This window comes from Homo sapiens, chromosome 5 (assembly GCF_000001405.40).
Source record: "Homo sapiens chromosome 5, GRCh38.p14 Primary Assembly".
Taxonomy (NCBI): domain Eukaryota; kingdom Metazoa; phylum Chordata; class Mammalia; order Primates; family Hominidae; genus Homo; species Homo sapiens.
The window spans coordinates 160,864,180-160,888,332 of NC_000005.10; the positions used below are offsets into that span (position 1 = coordinate 160,864,180).

A 24,153-nucleotide genomic window follows, 5' to 3' on the forward strand; every position below is an offset into this window, starting at 1 on the left:
AAAAATCCTCAACAAAACACTAGCTAACCAAATCCAACAGCATATTACATCATGATCAAGTGTGTTTCATACCAGCCATGCAGGGATAGTTTAACATATACAAGTCAATAAATGTGATACATTACATAAAGAGAATCGAAAACAAAAATTATGTGATCATCTCAATAGACACAGAAAAAGCATTTTATAAAATCCACCATTTCTCTATGATAAAAAACCCTCAACATAATTGGCATAGAAGGGACATACCTCAAAGTAATAAAAGCCATCTATGACAAACCCACAGCCAGCATCATACTGAATGAGGAAAAGTTGAAAGCATTTTCCCTAGAACAAGACAAGGATGCCCATTTTCATTACTTCTATTCGACATAGTACTAGAAGTTCTAGACAGAGCAATCAGACAAGAGAAAAAAAAAATAAAGAGTATCCAAATTGGAAAATAGGAAGTAAAACTGTTGCTGTTTACTGATATGATTGTATACCTAGAAAACCTTAAAGACTTATCCAAAAAGCTCAGACCTGATAAATGAATTCAGTAAAGTCTCAGGATACAAAATCAGTTTACACAAATCAGTAACTGCTGTACATCAACAACACAAATTAAGAATCAAATCGAAAACTCAATCCCTTTTACAACAGCTGCAAAAAAATAAAATAAAATAGAATACTTAGGAATATACCTAACCAAGGAGGTGAAAGGTTTCTGCAAGGAAAATGACAGAACACTGCTGAAAGAAATAATAGGTGACACAAATGGAAACACATCCCATGCTCATGGATGGGTAGAATCAATATTGTGAAATTGAACATACTGCCAAAAGCAATCTACACATTCAATGCAATTCCCATTAAAATATCACCATCATTCTTCACAGAACTAGAAAAGACAATCCTAGAATTCATATGGAACCAAAAAAGAGCCCACAGAGCCAAAGCACTACTAGGCAAAAAGTACAAATCTGGAGGCATCACATTACCCAACTTCAAATTGTACTATAAGGCTATAGTTACCAAAACAACATGGTGCTGGTAAGAAAATAGGCATATAGACCAATGGAAGAGAATAGAGAACCCAGAAATAAACCCAAATACTTACAACCAGCTGGTCTTTGACAAAGCATACAAAAACAAGGTTGGGGGAAAGGACACTCTATTCAATAAATGGTGCTGGGACAACTGACAAGCCACATGTAAAAGAATAAAACTGGATCCTTATCTCTCACCTTATACAAAAATCAACTCAAGATGGATCAAAGACCTAAATCTAAGACCTGAAACCATACAAATTCTAGAAGATAACATTGGAAAATCTCTTCTAGACATTGGCTTAGACAAAGAATGCATGACTAAGAACCCAAAATCAAATGCAACAAAAACAAAAACAAATAAATGGGACCTAATTAAACTAAAAAGCTTCTCCAAAGCAAACAAAATAATCAGCAGAGTAAACAGAGAACCCATAGAGTGGGAGAAAATATTCACAACTATGCATCTGACAAAGGACAAATATCCAGAATCTACAAGGAACTCAAATCAGCAAGAAAAAAAATAATCCCATCAAAAAATGGCAAAGGACGTGAATAGACAATTCTCAAAACAAGATACACAAACAGCCAACAAACATTAAAAATGCTGAACATCACTAATTATCAGGGAAATGCAAATCAAAACTACAATGTGATACCACTTTACTCCTGCACAAATGGCCATAATTAAAAAGTCAAAAAACAATAGATGTTGGTGTGGATGTGGTGAAAAGGGAACACTTTTACACCGATGGTGGGAACGTAAGCTAATACAACCACTATGGATAACAATATGGCGATTCCTTAAAGAACTAAAAGTAGAACTACCATTTGATCCAACAATAGCACTACTGGGTATCTACCCAGAGGAAAAGAAGTCATTATATGAAAATGACATATGCACATGTATGTTTATAGCAGCACAATTTGCAATTACAAAAATATGGAACCAACCTAAATGCTTATCAACCAACAAGTGAAGAAAATGTGGTATATATACATCATGGAATACTACTCAGCCCACAAAGAGAACAAAATTATGCCCTTTGCAGCAACTTAGATGGAGCTGGAGGCCATTATCCTAAGTGAAGTAACTCAGGAATAGAAAATAAAATATTGTATGTTCTCACTTATAAAAGCGGGAGCTAAGCTATGGGATGCAAAGCCATAAGAATGATATAATGTGCTGGGTGTGGTGGCTCATGCTTATCATCACAGTATTTTGGGAGGCTGAGGCAGGTGGATCACCTGAAGTCAGGAGTTCAAGACCAGCCTGGCCAACATGGTGAAACCCCATCTCTACTACAAATACAAAATTAGCCATGTTTGTTGGTGCATGCCTGCAATCCCAGCTACTTGGGAGGCTGAGGCAGGAGAACTGCTTGAACCTGGGAGTTAAGAGGTTGCAGTAAGCTGAGATCACACCATTGCACTCCAGCCTGGGCAACAAGAGCAAAACCCTGTCTCAAAAACAAAACAAAACAAAACCAAAACAAAATAAATGATATAATAGACTTTGGGTACTTGTGGGGAAGGATGGGAGTGGGGTGAGGAATAAAGACTACATATTGGGTACAGTATACACTGCTTGGGTGGCGGGTGCACCAAAATCTTGAATTACCACTAAAGAACTTATCCATGTGAAAATACCCACCTGTACCCCCCAAACTGTTAAAATAGAAGTAGCAAGAGATTTATGTGAACAAATAAAGGGCTTCCATTTTATGAACGACTGGACCAAAAAGCTGTGTTTCATTACAAGCAAGAGGCAGTGTAGTATTGTGGCTAGGAATATGAACTTAGGTCAGTCAGATCTAGATTTATGTCCTAGTTCCATCATGTACTAGCTATATGTTCTTAGATAAATTACCTAACTTTTTTGAGCCTCAGTTTCTACATCTGTAAACATTCAGAAAGTTATTATGAAAATTAAATGTGTAGCAGTCACATAAATCTGTGTACAACTAGGATTTATGAGAGTCTCATATATATGCATATATATATATATGGATACAAAAGTATCTACAGAGCTTAAAAATGGTGGCTATTACCACTCAATAACCCATTTGTTAATATCTGGGCCCACTGAAAGTAAATTCAGTTGATGACAGGTAGTTGTAATGGGAGACAACTAGGAGAACTTACTTACCTAGCTATAGCACTGGTCTTGTTTGTGTCTATACTAAATATATAATAAAGACTTAAAAATAATTCAAGTAAGCTTATGGCCTAGATGTGAGGCATCACTTTTATTTTAGAACACACACAGAAATGGGGCTACTCCTGAGCAACTTGCCACATAGCAGAATGTCAAGGAACTAAATCTCAGGTTTTTCCAAAATTGTACAAATCTAATGATCTGCACATACTTTATTATAAAGATAAGCATGTATCCATATGATATTTTTGACTTAGATTGGGAGGATAAATGACCAATGTTACAGAACATTCACCAGAATTATAGTTGCTAATTTAAAGTAGAATTTCTAGCCTCAGAATTTGTTGGCATGGTTGTGTTTTAGTATAATAGATGTGAATCCCCTTTTCAAAGGAATTAGAAGTTTTAACTGTGGATTTGGGAAGAAATCATTGATTGGAAACTGTTATAAGAATATAGGAAAAAATAAAAGCATTAAGTAAATCACTCAATTGTCTTCGTACATTATTTTCTATTCATTTGATGCAAATATTCAAAGTGATTTTCCAGATAGAAGGGATGGATTTTTCTCAGAGCTGAACATGTATCGTTATTCAGGTCCTGTGCCTATCTAAATCACATGACAAAACTAAGGGGTAATATCACCGAAAGCTCTGAAAACCAACAAAATCCTGAGCAACATAGTGTCACAGCGTCACAAGGCAAGGGGAGCGTTAAGCCTGAGTTGTACAGTTATGTCTGGTCTGCCATGTGAAGCTCCGGTACAAAAACCAACAGCCTTTCTGCATCTAGAGAAGCTGCCAGACTACCGTCATATATGATGTGGCGTAGCAGCTAATTTTGCACAAAAGAGTCAATGCCTTTTTGACTCTTTTCCTGGATTCTCTGGCTTCCTGATTAATTTGAATATCTCAAACAGTTGGTTATTATCTCAGAGAAAACCTGTGGTTCATTTCATCCCTTTGATTCTTTCTCTCTCACTTAATGACCAGTAAACACCACAAGGTTGACAACAGAGCTTTAGGCAGTTTATGCCACATACATTGAACATTTTACTTGCTGAAGCCACTGTTATGAAGTTTGTGATTTTCTTTAAAAGAGAAAAACCTTGCATATTTTCTAACAAGAACCAAACTTCTAAGGCATATGAACAGATACACACACACACACACACACACACACACACACACACACACACACACACGATGCAACTATATCTCTCTGACCTGGAAGTCAGAGATTGGATTATAATAAGCTCATAGAGAAAAGTCTCTCTTTCCTGGACAAATCAATAGCATGATGCTACCCCAAGTTCTGGGAAGGTAAATGACCTCTAAGACTTGCAGACTGGTGAAGACTAGGATTTATTGGAATTACACATTAGACATGACTAACTTTCCAAGAATATTTGATAGGAGGGTCCTGGAATTCATTATACTTATGCAGATTAAGAAAATCAAGATTTGGGGTCCTCAGTAGTGGACAAAGCCAGGGCATAGTATTACACATGCAATCTACAAGTATTTACTTGCATTAATCTAACAGAAACAGGAAACCAAGAAATTCATATAAGGCTTGATTCTGTATTAACCACCGGGGAAAAGTATGCATTGGAATTAATTTGGAGAGACCTGGTTCTAATTTTGCTTCTGCCATCTTGGCTATTTGACCTTTGAAAGCTACTTTATCTGTCAGCCTTAGTTTCTTCATCTGCAAAATAAGCATAACAATGTCTACTTTACATAGTTATTATAAATTATGTATATAAATATATGTAAATTCTCTAGATATCTGACATATGTGTGTACACATAAACATGATCTGGTATAATAAATACTCAAATTGCAGTTGCTATTATTACCACACTCTGCCCAACTCAACTGTAAATTCAGGTACCATAACTAATTGCTTTCATTTTTTCCCATCAGAATGAGAACTGGATGATGCAATTCATCTCCTTAGCTACTGTCATATATCACCCCTACCCCTATTTGGTTAAAAGGAGCTAAGTATAGCTAAACATAAATATTATTTAAAAAGCCTGATTTCTAGGAAACAATACCAGAGACAAAAAAAAAATAGTCCTATAACTGCCTTTTTATTTCAGTTGGGGAAAAAAAAAGTCTTAGAATGTTTGCTCACAAAAACCCTTTAGATTCCCCCTGCACTTCTGGCTTCCAATTCTGCATGTAAGGATCTTAGAACTCAATGCACCATTCTAACAACAAGTGAAATGTTGAACAGACTGAAAAATCAACTCTTCTTGTATCTGTAAGAAAAGTGAGGACACAAGGCAAACCATTGCCCCCAAGATTGAAAGACAGGTGAATACAGCAAACCATGGCTTGCTGGAAAACAGACTCACAGGAAGAAATCACAGTGGGAACCTGGGCCAGGATAGGAAAAGCTGAACTGTAATGAACAAACTGCTGGAGACTTAACTGTGGACAAATCTGAGTTAAAACTCCAGAAGGACCCTGTCATGAGGGGCCAATATTTTTGTTTTAACTCTAGGAGCCTGGCCAGGTGCTCACAGTAAATAATGAACCCTTCCCCTTCAAACATGCTTCTGTCAGGGGAGGGGAAAATGAACCATTTTGAAATATACCAGGCAACTCTGTTCTTTTTAACAAGGCCTGCCCTCAGAGGAGGTTAGCCAACCAGGGCCTAAACTGTTGGAATATGATCAGAGCCTAACTGAATTAGGGGAAAGAAAATACCCAACTCCGACTCCCTCCAGCCTTCCACGTGGGAGAAGAAAAATACCTAATTCCAGTTCATCCTAGCCATCCTGTCCCATGCAAGGGGAAAGAAAGTAACCTGAGAAGCACTTGTGAAGTTCACAGTCAAAAGGCATAGGCTCGCTAAAAGACAGACTGAATCACAGGACTATAGAGTGTTTCTCCTCTTCCCATACCTTGCTAGTACAATATTAAAGCCTTATTTGTGGCTGTTTCTTTTAACTGGTACATCATGTTCAGCTATAATGGATATGATGATTATAAAAAAAATACGAGGTGTACTAAAAGGCAAGAACAAACAATAAAAAAAAAACCCCACAATTTGAGGAGACAGAACAAGCAGCAGAACCAGTCTTGGATGAGATGAAAAGAATCTCTGAGCTTGAAAACATAACAAAAACCTCCAAAACCAAAAAACAAAAAGAGAAAAAGACAAACTAAAAACTTCAGAGCAGAATATCCAAGGATGGGACAACTAAAAAAGACGTAACATACAAATGATGGAAATACTAGAAGGAGAAAAAGATCAGAGAATGAAATAAATGTTTGAAACAATACTGGCTGAGAATTTCCCCAAATTAATGTCAGACACAAAGCCAGAAAGCTCAGAGAACACTAACCAGGAGAAATGCCAAAAAAAAACACAAAAAACAAAACAAAAACCTACAACAAAGCATATTATTTTAAAACTACAGAAAATCAAAGACAAAGAATTCTGAAAGCAGTCAGAGGGAAAAAACACCATACTGTAGGTATAGAATGAAGCAAAGAATTACATCTGACTTTTCCTCAGAAAATGTAAACAATAGTAGAGTGAAATATTTAACATGTTGAGAAAATAACCAACAACCTACAATTCTGTACTTTTTGAAATTATTCTTCAAAAATACAGGAGAAATAAAGCCTTTCTCAAACAAAAATTGAGGGAATTCATTGCCAGTAGACCTGTCTTATAAGAAGTGTTGTTATTTAGAGAGGAGGAAAATACAGGTCAGAAACTTGAATCTTCATAGAGAAAGGAAGAACATCAAAGAATAAGTAAAAGTGAAACTAAAACTTTTAATTGATCAAATAGATAACAGTTTGCTCAAAATAAAAATGCAATATGCTTTATTCCATATATATGTATATATACATATGTGCTTATATATAAGTGAAAAGAATGACAATAATGATACAAGGAACAGAAGGGAGGGAATTAGAATAATTTTTACTCAATTGTTGTTATAATGTACTCACATTACCCTTGAAGAGGTATAGTGTTATTTTTATTTTTCCATAGGTTATTGCCGTACAGGTGGTATTTGGTTACATAAGTTCTTTAGTGGTGATGTGTGAGATTTTGGTGCACCCATCACCTGCGCAGTATATATACACTGCACCATATTTGTAGTCTTTTATCCCTTGCTCCCTTTTCCACTTTTCCCTCCAAGTTCCCAAAGTCCATTGCATCATTCTTATACCATTGCATTCTCATAGTTTAGCTCCCACATATCAGTGAGAACATACGATGTTTGGTTTTCCATTCCTGAGTTACTTCACTTAAAAGAATAGTCTCCAATCTCATTCAGGTCACTGCAAATGCCGTTAATTCATTCCTTTTTATGACTGTGTAGTATTCCATCATGTATATACATCACAGTGTCTTTATTCACTCATTGATTGATGGACATTTGGGTTGGTTCCACAATTTTGCAATTGTGAATTGTGCTGTCATAAATGTGTGTGCGTTTTTTTATATAATGACTTTTTTGTATAATGACTTTTTTGGTATAATGACTTATTTTCCTCTGTGTAGACATCCAGCAGTGGGATTGCTGGGTCAAATGGTAGTTCTACTTTTAGTTATTTAAGGAATATCCCCACTGTTTTCCATAGTGGCTGTACTAGTTTATATTCCCACCAGCAGTGTAGAAGTGTTCTACACTTCTACATCTGCACCAATATCTACTATTTTGATTCTTGAATTATGGCCATTTTTTCTGGAGTAAGGTGGCATCACATTGTGATTTTGGTTTGCACTTCTCTGGTTATTAATGTTGAGCATTTTTTCATATATCTATTGGCCATTTGTATATCTTCTTTTGAGAACTGGCTATTCATGTCCTTAGCCCATTTTCTGATGGGATTATTTATTTGCTTTTTAGTTCATTGTTGATTCTGGATATTACTTTTCTGTCAGATGTATAGATTGTGAAGATTTTCTCCCACTCTGTGGGTTGTCTGTTTACTCTGCTGACTGTTCCTTTTGCCAAGCAAAAGCTTTTTAGTTTAATTAACTCCCAGCTACTTAACTTTGCTTTTATTGTATTTGCTTTTGGGTTCTTGATCATGAAATCCTTGCCTAAACCAATGTCTAGAAAGGCTTTTCCAATGTTATCTTCTAGAACTTTTATAGTTTCAGGTCTTAGATTTGAGTCCTTAATACATCTTGAATTGATTTTTGTATGAGGTGAGAGTTGAGGATCCAGTTTTATTCTCCATGTGGATAGCCAATTATCCTAGCACCATTTGTTGAAAAAGGTGTCATTTCCTCATTTTATGTTTTTGTTTGCTTTGTCGAAGATCAGTTGGCTGTAAGTATTTTGGTTTATTTCAGCGTTCTCTATTCTTTTCCATTGGCCTATGTGCCTATTTTTATACCAGTATTATGCTGTTTTGGTGACTACGGCCTTAGAGTATAGTTTGATATCAGGTAATGTGATGCCTACAGATTTGTTTTTTGCTTTGTCTTGCTTTGACTATGCGGTCTTTTGTTTTGGTTTCATATGAATTTTAGAATTGTTTTTTCTACTCTGTGAAGAACGACGGTGGTATTTTGATGGGGATTGCATTGAATTTCTAAATTGCTTTTGGTGGTATGTTCATTTTCACAATATTGGTTCTACCCATCCATGAGCACGAGATGTGTTTCCATTTGTTTGTGTCATCTATGATTTCTTTCAGCAGTGTTTTGTAGTTTTTCTTGTAGCGGTCTTTTGTCTCTTTGGTTAGGTATATTCCTAAGGTTTTTTTTGTTTTTTTTTTTTCAGCTATTATAAAACAGTTTGAGTTCTTGATCTGATTCTCTGCGGTCTCTTGTTTTGGTTTCATATGAATTTTAGAATTGTTTTAGTAAATTAGAAACAGAGGAGAACTTCCTCAACTTGATGAAGAATATCCACAAAAACCTATGGTTAACATCATTCTTCACGGTGAAACTCAAAATTTCTCATTAACATCAGGAACAAGGCAAGGTTATTCCATTTCACTAATCCATTTCAATATCATAGTAGAAGTCCTAGCTAATGCAATAAAGACAACATAATAAAAGGTACACAGGTTAGGAAGAAAGAAATATAATAGTATTTGTTCACAGATGACATGATTGTCTCTGTAGAAAATCTTTAAGAATAGACAAAAACATGGCCAGGCTCTCGAGGAGCCAAGTTGGCCGAATAGGAACAGCTCCGGTCTACAGCTCCCAGCGTGAGCGACACAGAAGACGGGTGATTTCTGCATTTCCATCTGAGGTACCGGGTTCATCTCACTAGGGAGTGCCAGACAGTGGACGCAGGTCAGTGGGTGCACGCACTGTGCGCGAGCCAAAGCAGGGCGAGGCACTGCCTCACTTGGGAAGTGCAAGGGGTCAGGGAGGTCCCTTTCCGAGTCAAAGAAAGGGGTGACAGACGGCACCAGGAAAATTGGGTCACTCCCACCTGAATATTGCGCTTTTCAGACCTGCTTAAAAAATGGTGCACCACGAGATTATATCCCACACCTGGCTCGGAGGGTCCTACACCCACGGAGTCTCGCTGATTGCTAGCACAGCAGTCTGAGATCAAACTGCAAGGCGGCAGCCAGGCTGGGGGAGGGGCGCCTGCCATTGCCCAGGCTTGCTTAGGTAAACAAAGCAGCCCAGAAGTTCGAACTGGGTGGAGCCCACCACAGCTCAAGGAGGCCTGCCTGCCTCTGTAGGCTCCACCACTGGGGGCAGGGCACAGACAAACAAAAAGACAGCAGTAACCTCTGCAGACTTAAATGTCCCTGTCTGACAGCTTTGAAGAGAGCAGTGGTTCTCCCAGCACGCAGCTGGAGATCTGAGAACGGGCAGACTGCCTCCTCAAGTGGGTCCCTGACCCCTGACCCCTGAGCAGGCTAACTGGGAGGCACCCCCCAGGAGGGTACACTGACACCTCACACGGCAGGGTATTCCAACAGACCTGCAGCTGAGGGTCCTGTCTGTTAGAAGGAAAACTAACAAACAGAAAGGACATCCACACCAAAAACTCATCTGTACATCACCATCGTCAAAGACCAAAAGTAGATAAAACCACAAAGATGGGGAAAAAACAGAACAGAAAAACTGGAAACTCTAAAACGCAGAGTGCCTCTCCTCCTCCAAAGGAACACAGTTCCTCATCAGCAACGGACCAAAGCTGGATGGAGAATGACTTTGACGAGCTGAGAGAAGAAGGCTTCAGATGATCAAATTACTCTGAGCTACAGGAGGACATTCAAACCAAAGGCAAAGAAGTTGAAAACTTTGAAAAAAATGTAGAAGAATGTATAACTAGAATAATCAATACAGAGAAGCGCTTAAAGGAGCTGATGGAGCTGAAAACCAAGGCTCCAGAACTACGTGAAGAATGCAGAAGCCTCAGGAGCCGATGCGATCAACTGGAAGAAAGGGTATCAGCAATGGAAGATGAAATGAATGAAATGAAGTGAGAAGGGAAGTTTAGAGAAAAAAGAATAAAAAGAAATGAGCAAAGCCTCCAAGAAATATGGGACTATGTGAAAAGACCAAATCTACATCTGATTGGTGTACCTGAAAGTGATGGGGAGAATGGAACCAAGTTGGAAAACACTCTGCAGGATATTATCCAGGAGAACTTCCCCAATCTAGCAAGGCAGGCCAACGTTCAGATTCAGGAAATACAGAGAATGCCACAAAGATACTCCTCGAGAAGAGCAACTCCAAGACACATAATTGTCAGATTCACCAAAGTTGAAATGAAGGAAAAAATGTTAAGGGCAGCCAGAGAGAAAGGTCGGGTTACCCTCAAAGGGAAGCCCATCACACTAACAGCGGATCTCTTGGCAGAAACCCTACAAGCCAGAAGAGAGTGGGGGCCAATATTCAACATTCTTAAAGAAAATAATTTTCAACCCAGAATTTCATATCCAGCCAAACTAAGCTTCATAAGTGAAGGAGAAATAAAATACTTTACAGACAAGCAAATGCTGAGAGATTTTGTCACCACCAGGCCTGCTCTAAAAGAGCTCCTGAAGGAAGCGCTAAACATGGAAAGGAACAACCAGTACCAGCCACTGCAAAATCATGCCAAAATGTAATGACCATCGAGACTAGGAAGAAACTGCATCAACTAACGAGCAAAATCACCAGCTAACATCATAATGACAGGATCAAATTCACACATAACAATATTAACTTTAAAGGTAAATGGACTAAATGCTCCAATTAAAAGACACAGACTGGCAAATTGGATAAAGAGTCAAGACCCATCAGTGTGCTGTATTCAGGAAACCCATCTCATGTGCAGAGACACACATAGGCTCAAAATAAAAGGATGGAGGAAGATCTACCAAGCAAATGGAAAACAAAAAAAGGCAGGGGTTGCAATCCTAGTCTCGGATAAAACAGACTTTAAACCAACAAAGATCAAAAGAGACAAAGAAGGCCATTACCTAATGGTAAAGGGATCAATTCAACAAGAAGAGCTAACTATCCTAAATATATATGCACCCAATACAGGAGCACCCAGATTCATAAAGCAAGTCCTGAGTGACCTACAAAGAGACTTAGACTCCCACACATTAATAATGGGAGACTTTAACACCCCACTGTCAACATTAGACAGATCAATGAGACAGAAAGTCAACAAGGATATCCAGGAATTGAACTCACCTCTGCACCAAGCCGACCTAATAGACATCTCCAGAACTCTCCACCCCAAATCAACAGAATATACATTTTTTTCAGCACCACACCACACCTATTCCAAAATTGACCACATACTTGGAAGTAAAGCTCTCCTCAGCAAATGTAAAAGAACAGAGATTATAACAAACTATCTCTCAGACCACAGTGCAATCAAACTAGAACTCAGGATTAAGAATCTCACTCAAAACCACTCAACTACATGGAAACTGAACAACCTGCTCCTGAATGACTACTGGGTACATAACGAAATGAAGGCAGAAATAAAGATGTTCTTTGAAACCAACGAGAACAAAGACACAACATACCAGGATCTCTGGGACACATTCAAAGCAGTGTGTAGAGGGAAATTTATAGCACTAAATGCCCACAAGAGAAAGCAGGAAACATCCAAAATTGACACCCTAATATCACAATTAAAAGAACTAGAAAAGCAAGAGCAAACACATTCAAAAGCTAGCAGAAGGCAAGAAATAACTAAAATCAGAGCAGAACTGAAGGAAATAGAGACACACAAAACCCTTCAAAAAATTAATGAATCCAGAAGCTGGTTTTTTGAAAGGATCAACAAAATTGATAGACTGCTAGCAAGACTAATAAAGAAAAAAGAGAGTAGAATCAAATAGACACAATAAAAAATGATAAAGGGGATATCACCACCAATCCCACAGAAATACAAACTACCATCAGAGAATACTACAAACACCTCTACGCAAATAAACTAGAAAATCTAGAAGAAATGGATAAATTCCTGGACACATACACTCTCCCAAGACTAAACCAGGAAGAAGTTGAATCTCTGAATAGACCAATAACAGGAGCTGAAATTGTGGCAATAATCAATAGTTTACCAACCAAAAAGAGTCCAGGACCAGATGGATTCACAGCCGAATTCTACCAGAGGTACAAGGAAGAACTGGTACCATTCCTTCTGAAACTATTCCAATCAACAGAAAAAGAGGGAATCCTCCCCTAACTCATTTTATGAGGCCAGCATCATTCTGATACCAAAGCCGGACAGAGACAACCAAAAAAGAGAATTTTAGACCAATATCCTTGATGAACATTGATGCAAAAATCCTCAATAAAATACTGGCAAAACGAATCCAGCTGCATATCAAAAAGCTTATCCACCATGATCAAGTGGGCTTCATCCCTAGGATGCAAGGCTGGTTCAATATACACAAATCAATAAATGTAATCCAGCATATAAACAGAGCCAAAGACAAAAACCACATGATTATCTCAATAGATGCAGAAAAAGCCTTTGACAAAATTCAACAACCCTTCATGCTAAAAACTCTCAATAAATTAGGTATTGATGGGACATATTTCAAAATAATAAGAGCTATCTATGACAAACCCACAGCCAATATCATACTGAATGGGCAAAAACTGGAAGCATTCCCTTTGAAAACTGGCACAAGACAGGGATGCCCTCTCTCACAACTCCTATTCAACATAGTGTTGGAAGTTCTGGCCAGGGCAATCAGGCAGGAGAAGGAAATAAAGGGTATTCAATTAGGAAAAGAGGAAATCAAATTGTCCCTGTTTGCAGATGACATGATTGTATATCTAGAAAACCCCATTGTCTCAGCCCAAAATCTCCTTAAGCTGATAAGTAACTTCAGCAAAGTCTCAGGATACAAAATCAATGTACAAAAATCACAAGCATTCTTATACACCAATAACAGACAAACAGAGAGCCAAATCATGAGTGAACTCCCATTCACAATTGCTTCAAAGAGAATAAAATACCTAGGAATCCAACTTACAAGGGACATGAAGGACCTCTTCAGTAACTACAAACCACAGCTCAATGAAATAAAAGAGGAAACAAACAAATGGAAGAACATTCCATGCTCATGGGTAGGAAGAATCAATATCGTGAAAATGGCCATACTGCCCAAGGTAATTTATAGATTCAATGCCATCCCCATCAAGCTACCAATGATTTTCTTCACAGAATTGGAGAAAACTACTTTAAAGTTCATATGGAACCAAAAAAGAGCCCACATTGCCAAGTCAATCCTAAGCCAAAAGAACAAAGCTGGAGGCATCACACTACCTGACTTCAAACTATACTACAAGGCTACAGTAACCAAAACAGCATGGTACTGGTACCAAAACAGAGATATAGATCAATGGAACAGAACAGAGCCCTCAGAAATAATGCCACATATCTACAACTATCTGATCTTTGACAAACCTGAGAAAAACAAGCAATGGGGAAAGGATTCCCTATTTAATAAATGGTGCTGGGAAAACTGGCTAGCCATAAGTAGAAAGCTGAAACTGGATCCCTTCCTTACACCTTATACAAAAATCAATTCAAGATGGATTAAAGACTTAAACGTTAGACCTAAAACCATAAAAACCCTAGAAGAAAACCTAGGCATTACCATTCAGGACATAGGCATGGGCAAGGACACTTCATGTCCAAAACACCAAAAGCAATGGCAACAGAAGACAAAATTGACAAATGGGATCTAATTAAACTAAAGAGCTTCTGCACAGCAAAAGAAACTACCGTCAGAGCGAACAGGCAACCTACAAAATGGGAGAAAATTTTCACAACCTACTCATCTGACAAAGGGCTAATATCCACAATCTACAATGAACTCAAACAAATTTACAAGAACAAAACAAACAACCCCATCAAAAAGTGGGCGAAGGACATGAACAGACACTTCTCAAAACAAGACATTTATGCAGCCAAAAAACACATGAAGAAATGCTCATCATCACTGGCCATCAGAGAAATGCAAATCAAAACCACAATGAGATACCATCTCACACCAGTTAGAATGGCAATCATTAAAAAGTCAGGAAACAACAGGTGCTGGAGAGGATGTGGAGAAATAGGCACACTTTTACACTGTTGGTGGGACTGTAAACTAGTTCAACCATTGTGGAAGTCAGTGTGGCGATTCCTCAGGGATCTAGAACTAGAAATACCATTTGACCCAGCCATCCCATTACTGGGTATATACCCAAAGGACTATAAATCATGCTGCTATAAAGACACATGCACACGTATGTTTATTGTGGCATTATTCACAATAGCAAAGACTTGGAACCAACCCAAATGTCCAACAATGATAGACTGGATTAAGAAAATGTGGCACATATACACCATGGAATACTATGCAGCCATAAAAAATGATGAGTTCATGTCCTTTGTAGGGACATGGATGAAATTGGAAATCATCATTCTCAGTAAACTATCGCAAGAACAAAAAACCAAACACCACATATTCTCACTCATAGGTGGGAATTGAACAATGAGATCACATGGACACAGGAAGGGGAATATCACACTCTGGGGACTGTGGTGGGGTGGGGGGAGGGGGGAGGGATAGCATTGGGAGATATACCTAATGCTAGATGACGAGTTAGTGGGTGCAGCGCACCAGCATGGCACATGTATACGTATGTAACTAACCTGCACAATGTGCACATGTACCCTAAAACTTAAAGTAAAATTAAAAAAAAAAAAAAAACCACGGCCAGGCGCGGTGGCTCTCGCCTGTAATCCCACACTTTGGGAGGCCAAGGTGGGTGGACGGTGAGGTCAAGAGATGGAGACCATCCTGGCCAACATAGTGAAATCCTGTCTTTACCAAAAATACAAAAAATTAGCCGGGCGTGGTAGCGGGCGCCTGTAGTCCCAGCTACTTGGGAGGCTGAGGCAGGGGAATGGCGTGAACCCAGGAGGTGGAGCTTGTAGTGAGCCGAGATGGCGCCACTGCACTCCAGCCTGGGCGACAGAGCAAGACTCCATCCAAAAACAAACAAACAAACAAAGAATAGACAACTTCTGGAACTAATAAGTGATTGTATCAAGGTTTCAGGATACGAAGTTAACATACAAATGCCAATTGCTTTGTATATACCAACAATAGTCAAGTGGAATTTGAAATTCAAAACACAGCAAACACCATGTATATATTAGTACTCCTAAAAATGAAATTCTTCTGTATAAATCTAATATAAATCTAATAATCTATGTGTATAAATCACATAGAATATATCATCTATGTGAGAAACTATTATAAAAGAAATTATGTAAAAGAAATTATATAATAGATTACATAATATATATAAAATATAAATAAAAATATATAATGTAAATATTTTTATATATAGATTATATAATATATAAAATATAAATAAAATATAAATATTTTTATATATTATATATAAATAAATTATATAATATAAAAGAAACTATGATGAAAGAAATCAAAGGAAAAATCAAATAAATGAAGAGATATTTCATGGGTAGGAAAACTCAATGTGTCAAGATATCAGTTCTTCCAAACTTGATCTATAGGTTCAATACAATCCCATTCAAAATTCCGAGAAGTTCTTTTGTGGCTATCAACAAACTAAGTTTACGTGGAGAGGAAACAGATGCAGAATAGACAACAGAATATGGAAGAACAAGGTGGGAGAACTGACATGCAACTTCAAGACTTACTTTAAAGCTACAGTAATCAAGACAATGTGGTACTGGTAAAATAATTGAGAAATAGATCAACAGCACAGAGTGGAGAGACCAGAAATAGAACCACATAAGACCCATGTATATATACAATCAGCTGATCTTTGACAAATGAGCAAATATAATACAATGGAACAAAGACTGTCTTTTCAAGAAATGGTGCTGGAACAACTGGACATTCACATGCCAAAAAAAATCTAGGCACAGATCTTACATCTTTCACAAAGATTAAATCAAAATGGATTAGAGACCTAAATATAAAATACAAAACTATAAAAATCCTAGAAAATGTAGGAGAAAACCTAGATGACCCCAGGTATGGTGATGACTTTCTAGATGAAACACTAAAGGCACACTCCATGAAAGAAGTAATTGATAAGCTAGACTTTATTAAAATTAAAAACTTCTGCTCTCCGAAAGACAACATCAAGAGAATGAGAAGACAAGACATAGACTGGGAGGAAATATTTACACAAGAAATGTATGATAAAGACTATTACCCAAAATATACATAGAATTCTTAAAAATCAACAAGAAAGCAAGCAAGCCATTTAACAAATGGACAAAAGATCTTAATACACTTTACCAAAGAAGATGTACAGAGGGCAAATAAGCATATGAAAAAATGTTTATTTTTTCACATTAAATGGCATCAGGAAAATGCAAACTAAAACAACAACAGGATACCACGACACACCTATTAGAATTATCAAAATCCATTGAATGACAACACCAAATGCTAACAAGAATGGGGAATAAGAGAAACTCTCCTTCACTACTGGTGGAAATGTAAAATGGCACAGCTGCTTAAGAAGACAGTTTGGTGATATCTTACAAAACTAAACATACTATTACCATATAATCCAACAATTGTGCTTCTTGGTATTTATCCAAAGGGATTTAAAACTTTTATCTATACAAAAACCGGCACACAGATATTTATAGTAGCTTTATTAATAATTGCCAAAATTTCGGCCGGGCGTGGTGGCTCACACCTGTAATCCCAGCACTTTGGGAGGCCGAGGCGGGTGGATCACGAGGTCAGGAGATCTAGACCATCCTGGCTAACACGGTGAAACCCCATCTCTACTAAAAATATAAAAAATTATCCGGGCGTGGGGTGGGCGCCTGTAGTCCCAGCTACTTGGGAGGCTGAGGCAGGAGAATGGTGTGAAAGCGGGAGGTGGAGCTTGCAGTGAGAGGAGATGGCGCCACTGCACTCCAGCCTGGGTGACAGAGCAAGACTCCATCTTAAAATGAATAAATAAATAAAACAATAATAATAATTGCCAAAAGTTGGACGCAACCAAGATTTCCTTCTATAAGTGAATGGATAAATAAACTGTGGTACATGTACACAATGAAATATTATTTAATGCTAAAAAAGTTAGTGATCAGGCCATGAAAATACAGAGTAACCTTAAATGCATATTACTAAGTTAAAGAAGCCAATCTAAAGAGGCTACAAACTGTATAATATTCCAGAAAAGGTAAAACTCTGGAGACAATAAAATATCAGTGGTTGCCATTGGAAGGGGGAGGAGGAGGCAAGGAATGAACAGGTAGGCCACAGAGAATTTCTAGGACAGTGAAAATGTTTTTTGTGATACTATAATGATAGATACATATCATTATATATTTGTCCAAACACAAAGAAAGTACAATACCAAGAGCAAATCCTAATGTAAAACGTAGAGTTGGGATACTTAAGACGTGTCAGTGTAGATTCTTCAATTTTAACAAATATGCCATTCTGGTGGGGGATGTTGATAATGGGAGAGGCCAGGCATGTGTAGGGGATGGGATATGTAGGAAGTCTCTGCATCTTCCTCTCAACTTTGCTGTGAACTTAAGATTGTTCTAAGAAAATACATTATTTTTAAATTTAAAAATTTTATTTTTTTTGTAGAGATGGGGTCTGGCCATGTTGCCTAGCCTGGTCTTAAACTCCTGGCCTCAAGTGATCCTTCTGCCTCAGCCTCCCAAATTGCTGAGATAATAAGTGTGGCCATTGTGCCTGGGGTTAAAAAATAAATTCATAAAAAAGTCATGATTTCTTCTTTATAAAACCCTCCTGAAAACAAGAAGTCTTATTCAAAGATGAGTAATCACAAAGGAAATGTCATAAAATTTGTCAATTTAACAGGTAAATACCGTAAAGAAAAATGGTATGGAGGAATGGAAGAGAAAAAACAAGTTAAGAATAATGAACACTCAAAAATATATGGCTATGGAGGAGATAAAATTGTGACCAAGGTTTCATTGTTCACACAACACAACTAAGCCACCAAATGAAGCAATCACCATAAAACCAGATATCAAGTCAGAATTCTAAAACCTAGGGAAATTTGTAAGAATGCAGAAGAAAAAATAGAATTGGTTGGTCTGCCAAAAAAAATGAAATATAAAACTGAAGCCAACACAAAAATAAATCTAAAATGAAAAGCCATAGAAAGAAAACTAAAAACTAGGATAAATATAGTAAACATCAAATATAGGAATGGGAAAAGCAAGTTTTAAGGGATGACAGTTCAAGTCCTGATAAAGTAGGTAAATAGTTTCAGGAAATGCATTACTTACTAAATACTCAGGAATAGAAAACATCGCTTAAGAATCTCATACCCAACCAAACATCACTTGCATATAAAGGCAACAGAGAAACATTTTTGAACATGCAAGAATGTAGGAAATACTGTTCCCAAGAGTCTTTATTGAAGAATCTATTGAATGAAAACTTCAGCCCATCTGTATATGGTTACAAAAATTATAGCAAAAAAGACCTGTGGTGAGGACAGAATCACTTTAACTACAGGGCTGAGACTAAATGTCATGTATGGATAATGGTTTCAGGGTAGAATATGAGTTTTATTAACCCTGAAAAAGGTTGGAAGGAGGAGAGGGATAAATAAGGGCAGGTGGTGTGTAGTGATTTTTTTCACATTTTTATGGCTGAGAATAGTAAATTAAGCACTAGAAGCACTAGAAGTATAACAAAAGTAACATTAGCAGTAATACTGTAAACTGATTTGGGTGGTAAAGGGGAAAAGAGAACATGCCTTAGTTTATCACGTTTATAACAGAAAGTTGATAGATACTGTTTAAAGAATTAGTGAAATGATAATTACTAGAGTAATAAAATTATTGCTAGAGCAGAAGTGTAAGCCTTCCAAATTATCAAAACACACGCAAAAAGAAAAGGAAACTATAGATTAAAGGAGTTTAAAGAGTGTTAACAAAAGTATTCCGTGGACTTTACATTAAGTTATTAAGAGTTTGAGTCATTATGGCTGCTTTCGTACATTATTTTAGTGTTTGTACAGTTCAACAATCAGTGAACTAAATGTCTTTTAAGTAATTAGTGCTACTTTTCTTTTCCCTTAAGACTCTATCAGGAAATCTCAGCATCTTGAAACTGAGACATGTAATAAGTGAAGGAAAACAGTTTTGAATTGTTAGCACTCTTCAAATGAACGAATTGTACATTTTTCTCTACAGCATATTGTTTATAAGCAACATAATATTGTTAAATAAGTATAATTCACTGTTGCTACTTTAGCAAGCCTGCCAAAATCTCATTGGGACTGTTACCCTCCTCACACAGACACACACACACTCTTTTCTGGAGCCAACCATCTTGTAACAGTCTTTTGTGAATTACAAAGGGAGTAGATTAGGTGGCTTAATGTTGTACTTGTTGAAATAAACCCAATGTGTGTAAGAGTCAAAGAGTTTTCACATCTTCCAGGTAGGAGGAAATTGTATCTCACCAAAATCAGCTTCAGTTAATTGATCAGTATTTTCCAAGAAGGGGACTGACATGTATAAAGATGTATAAAGATGTTAGGTAGTATGAAATGATGTAGGATGATAATTAAAAATAATATCATATTTATGTCTATAGTGATAATTTTTCTTTTTAAGTTTCCTTTAGTATAATCAAAAGAACTGGCTATCTCAGCCTGATGCTAGCATGATTTAAACATATAACATGCTCTAATCTCCCTAATCTCCCTGTGGGAGATACCACAGCTCAGAGTTTTAGGCAGGCGTCATTATTTATTTAGAGTGAAATGTTATTTATATTTATTTTTATCATTACTTTTTCATTATGGCAATTGATATAAGTATTCCATTTATGGAAAAAATATTTTTAAAAAATTTAAGTGAAAAGTTAATTTAAAGAAAAGTAAAAAATAAATAGCAGTCATACATTTAAGCAAACATTTGAAAGGTGGCACACAAATGTCTAAAATTTGAGAAACAGTGAATTAATTCATTTATTCCAAAGGCATTTGAGTACAAGAACAAAGCACTCTACTGGATGTTTAATTGCAGGAAAAAGTTATATTCTGTCCACAAATTTGCATGTTTTGGTTGGGCAGAAAGAAAAACCCAGGAATCCAACAAATCTCTCTTTTGCTGCAATAGAGCCAGGGCCAAATTCCAATCACCGTTGGAACTGGTGGCAAGGCCTCCTCCTTCCTTTCTGTTTTTATCCCTGGCTACCCTGTTTTGCATTATGTTTGATCCCACAAGCCACCTCTGATCCTTTTGGGAATAGGCAGAGTATATAAAAAGGGAGGTGATTAATCAGTATTTGTTGAATAAATGAATACATAAGTGAATGAATAAGTAAACAGAGAAAACTGATGAGCTGAGAGGGAGAATTGCAGAGCTCTGATTGTTCTCAGCTCTCCTGTTTTAATAAGGGAAGCGGATGCAAGGAGCACACTGTGATTCTAAGAAGGAAGGCAGCACCCTGCATGGCCCAGATGGGGAATGTGAAGGCTGAACCAGCAGAAAACTAGAGAAAAAGTGGTTCCTCAGTGAGTGAGTGTCTTCTCCCCAGATGTATTTGCATGGCTGATAAGCCCATGTAAACAATGGACCCAGAAATAACTTTGCAGGCAAGTCAGAGGAAGACACCTTGGCAAAACCCCAGGATCAAATGTATTGATTCCTAACTTACAGAAATCATGAAAATAGGAGTCTTTGTTGCTGATGGAAAGGAAAGTTATTAAATCCCATTTTGAGTGGGAACTCAGCCTGAATTAATGAGAGAGAAAAAACATGGCATAGAATGAGTCTGTCTTTGCTCTCTGCTCAAGACGGGCATCAGCATGACACTGAAAGCTCTTCTAGGGACAAGAGAAAATCCCTTGTGCCTTATGAAAGTTGTTTTCATCCTAGTTGATGGGATAAATCATAAGCTATTGAAGAAAATATCTGTAGCAGAGCAAAGAGAAATGCCAGAGTGAATTTAACCCATTGTTCTTGATTTTCTAGCTTTTTGCATTTCCTACTTTGTGCTGTAGTAACTTAGATACACGTCCTCTTGCTCCTAAATTACTCTTCCAGAAGTCAGGATCTGCTTCTTGATTCATTTTTGTATCCTCCACAGTAACCACTTTTTGAGAAACAATAGGTGATCAATATATATTGGTTAAATGTGTAAATGACAGTAGAAATTTGAAAATCACCGAAGAATCAGATTCTTTTCCATGAATGTTTGAGCACCTACCAGGAAACAGACGCTACTTTTAGCCATCGGGGGAATTTTTAGAAATCAAGGCAACATCTCCTGTTTTGTAAACCCATGGCTGTGGTTGCCACAAACACAAGTTTTATACAAGCAAGGACATGAGAAACAAAGTGAGAGGTGGATAAGGCAAAATGACATGGGTGCACAGAGAAAATGGAATTGGATTTCAACCTTGGGGTTATTTAGGGTGGAGATCAAGAAAGGAACATTTGATGGAGGACTTGAAAGATAAAACTAAACAGGTACAGATAACTGGAGAAAAGCATCTCGGGATAATTTTACCATAGACAACATTTGGAGGTGGAATAAAGTAGAGTGTGTTTTGAGGCCCTGGATAGCTTAGAGGGGCTATGTGTGTGTTTGTATTGGTGAGGGGAAGTAACAGGGAAATAATCAAGAAGTTAAAGCCCATCTGGGCACAGATTTCACAGAGCCTTAAAAACCCGGCAAGGTCATTTGGGTTTAGCTTTAAATAATGAAGCTCATGGAGTGATGACACTATCAAGGCTGCCCTTTAGGATCTAGACGCAAGAATTGGCTGATCTGACCAACAAATCTAGGGAAGAATTAACATCCCTTCTTCCAGAGTGGTCCTTTTCCTTCCTAGAAATCATGAATGCACAATGCAAAAAGAACCTCTAAAAGATGACAGCTAACTCAGGGCAATGGTCCATGCCATAATTTCATTCCAGGCAACAAGAACGAACCATATAAGATAGAGACTATGGGAGAGTCCCTGTAAAGCACAAGGCACATTTGATGCTATGTGAGGTGACTATTAAAAGAAATACTTTCCTTGAAAATGCTCCATTAAAGGGAAAAACCTAAGCATTTATTTTTACCCTCCAGCAGGAAATGTATTCCTGGGTAATCAAATACCCAAAATTGATGAGAGAAGGCTCTGTTTCACAAGGAAATGTCAGCTGATAACTATAGAATGAGTGACAGAATTATGAAAAGCATTTTGCAAACTCTAATGTAATTGAGCCAGGCACGAATTTTCAATTGCTGTTAAGGCTATGAGGCAAATGGAAATACAGCTGTCCTCCAGTATCTGTGGAGGATTGGTCCTAGGACCTCCTTTGGATACCAAAATCCAGAGATGCTCAAGTCCTTGATATAAAATGGTACACTATTTGTGTATAACCAATGTATATCCTGCTATATAATTAAAATCATCTCTATATTACTTATAATACCTAATACAATGTAAATGTTATATAAATAGTTGTTATACATTATTGTTTAGGGAATAACTACAAGAAAAATGTCTGTACCTCTTCAACACAAATTTTGTTTTCTGATATTTTATATCCATGGTTGCTTGAAAACACAGGTTCAGAACCCATGGATATGGATGGCCGACCATATAAGCATATAATGACTAAAACACAAGTGAGACCTCATCACTCCTCTGACCAGAACTCACAATTGGCCCCCATTTCACTCCCAGTAAGAGCCCAAGTCCTTAAAGGCCCGCAAAGTCTTACACAATCTTGCTCCATTACTTCTCTGACCTCAACCTTGCTGTGTCTCCCCTCACTCATGTTTCTCCAGCTACGTTGACCTCCTGACTATTCTTTGGATACATGGATCACAAACCCTCCTGAGGGTCTTTCAGTCACTGTCCCTGCTGTCTGGATTGTTCTTCCCCAAGATACCTGTGTGGCTTTTTCCTGATACAGGTCCTTGTCAAGGGCCAACTTCCGGACACCCTATGTACAAGCACACTCCACCTTATTGCTACCCTCTGGCACTCCCAGCTTTTCTTACCCAACTCTCTTCTTTTTCCTAAGAGGCCCTTATCAACTGCTAACCTATGATATTGTTTGCTTACGTTGGGAGGCAGAGATTTTTGTCTTTGGTTCACTGCAAAAATCCCAGGCATCTAGAGCAACACGTGCAACATGGTAATTGCTCAAATATTTGTTTAATGTATTGCATAAAAGGCATATGGACAAAGGAGCCTGTCATAAATCTCATTTGGTCTGTGGCTCTTGCCCTGCCTCCACATGCAGTTGTTACACAGGTCAAAAGTGTAGACTGGCCTCTGTACAAGAAGGGGTAATCCTGGCCCATGGGCATACACTACCATAAATATGTGAGAAGTGATGCCTAATTAGAGGATAAAATAAATGTATAATGCTGAGAAATTAATGAGCTTTGGGAAAAGAGTATCAGCACCTCTGACAAAGAAATTTCTTTAAAAAAATCCTGAAAATGCAGCAGAGGC

The 24,153-nt window shown here is 37.5% G+C and overlaps 1 protein-coding gene across 4 annotated transcripts in view, besides 2 other annotated features; it reads right to left on the reverse strand.

Annotated features, from left to right (window-relative positions):
- Positions 1 to 24,153, reverse strand: part of ATP10B (ATPase phospholipid transporting 10B (putative)) — a 366,241-nt gene that overhangs the window by 301,060 nt on the left and 41,028 nt on the right. The gene's annotated exons all lie outside the window — the stretch shown is intronic.
- Positions 9,043 to 9,621: an enhancer, noted in NCBI's record as "H3K27ac-H3K4me1 hESC enhancer chr5:160300229-160300807 (GRCh37/hg19 assembly coordinates)". NCBI's record gives its function as "activates a minimal SCP1, AML or CMV promoter by ChIP-STARR-seq in primed H9 embryonic stem cells {active_cell/tissue: H9 hESC(primed)}" and the evidence as "EXISTENCE:reporter gene assay evidence [ECO:0000049][PMID:30033119]".
- Positions 9,622 to 10,199: an enhancer, noted in NCBI's record as "H3K27ac-H3K4me1 hESC enhancer chr5:160300808-160301385 (GRCh37/hg19 assembly coordinates)". NCBI's record gives its function as "activates a minimal SCP1, AML or CMV promoter by ChIP-STARR-seq in primed H9 embryonic stem cells {active_cell/tissue: H9 hESC(primed)}" and the evidence as "EXISTENCE:reporter gene assay evidence [ECO:0000049][PMID:30033119]".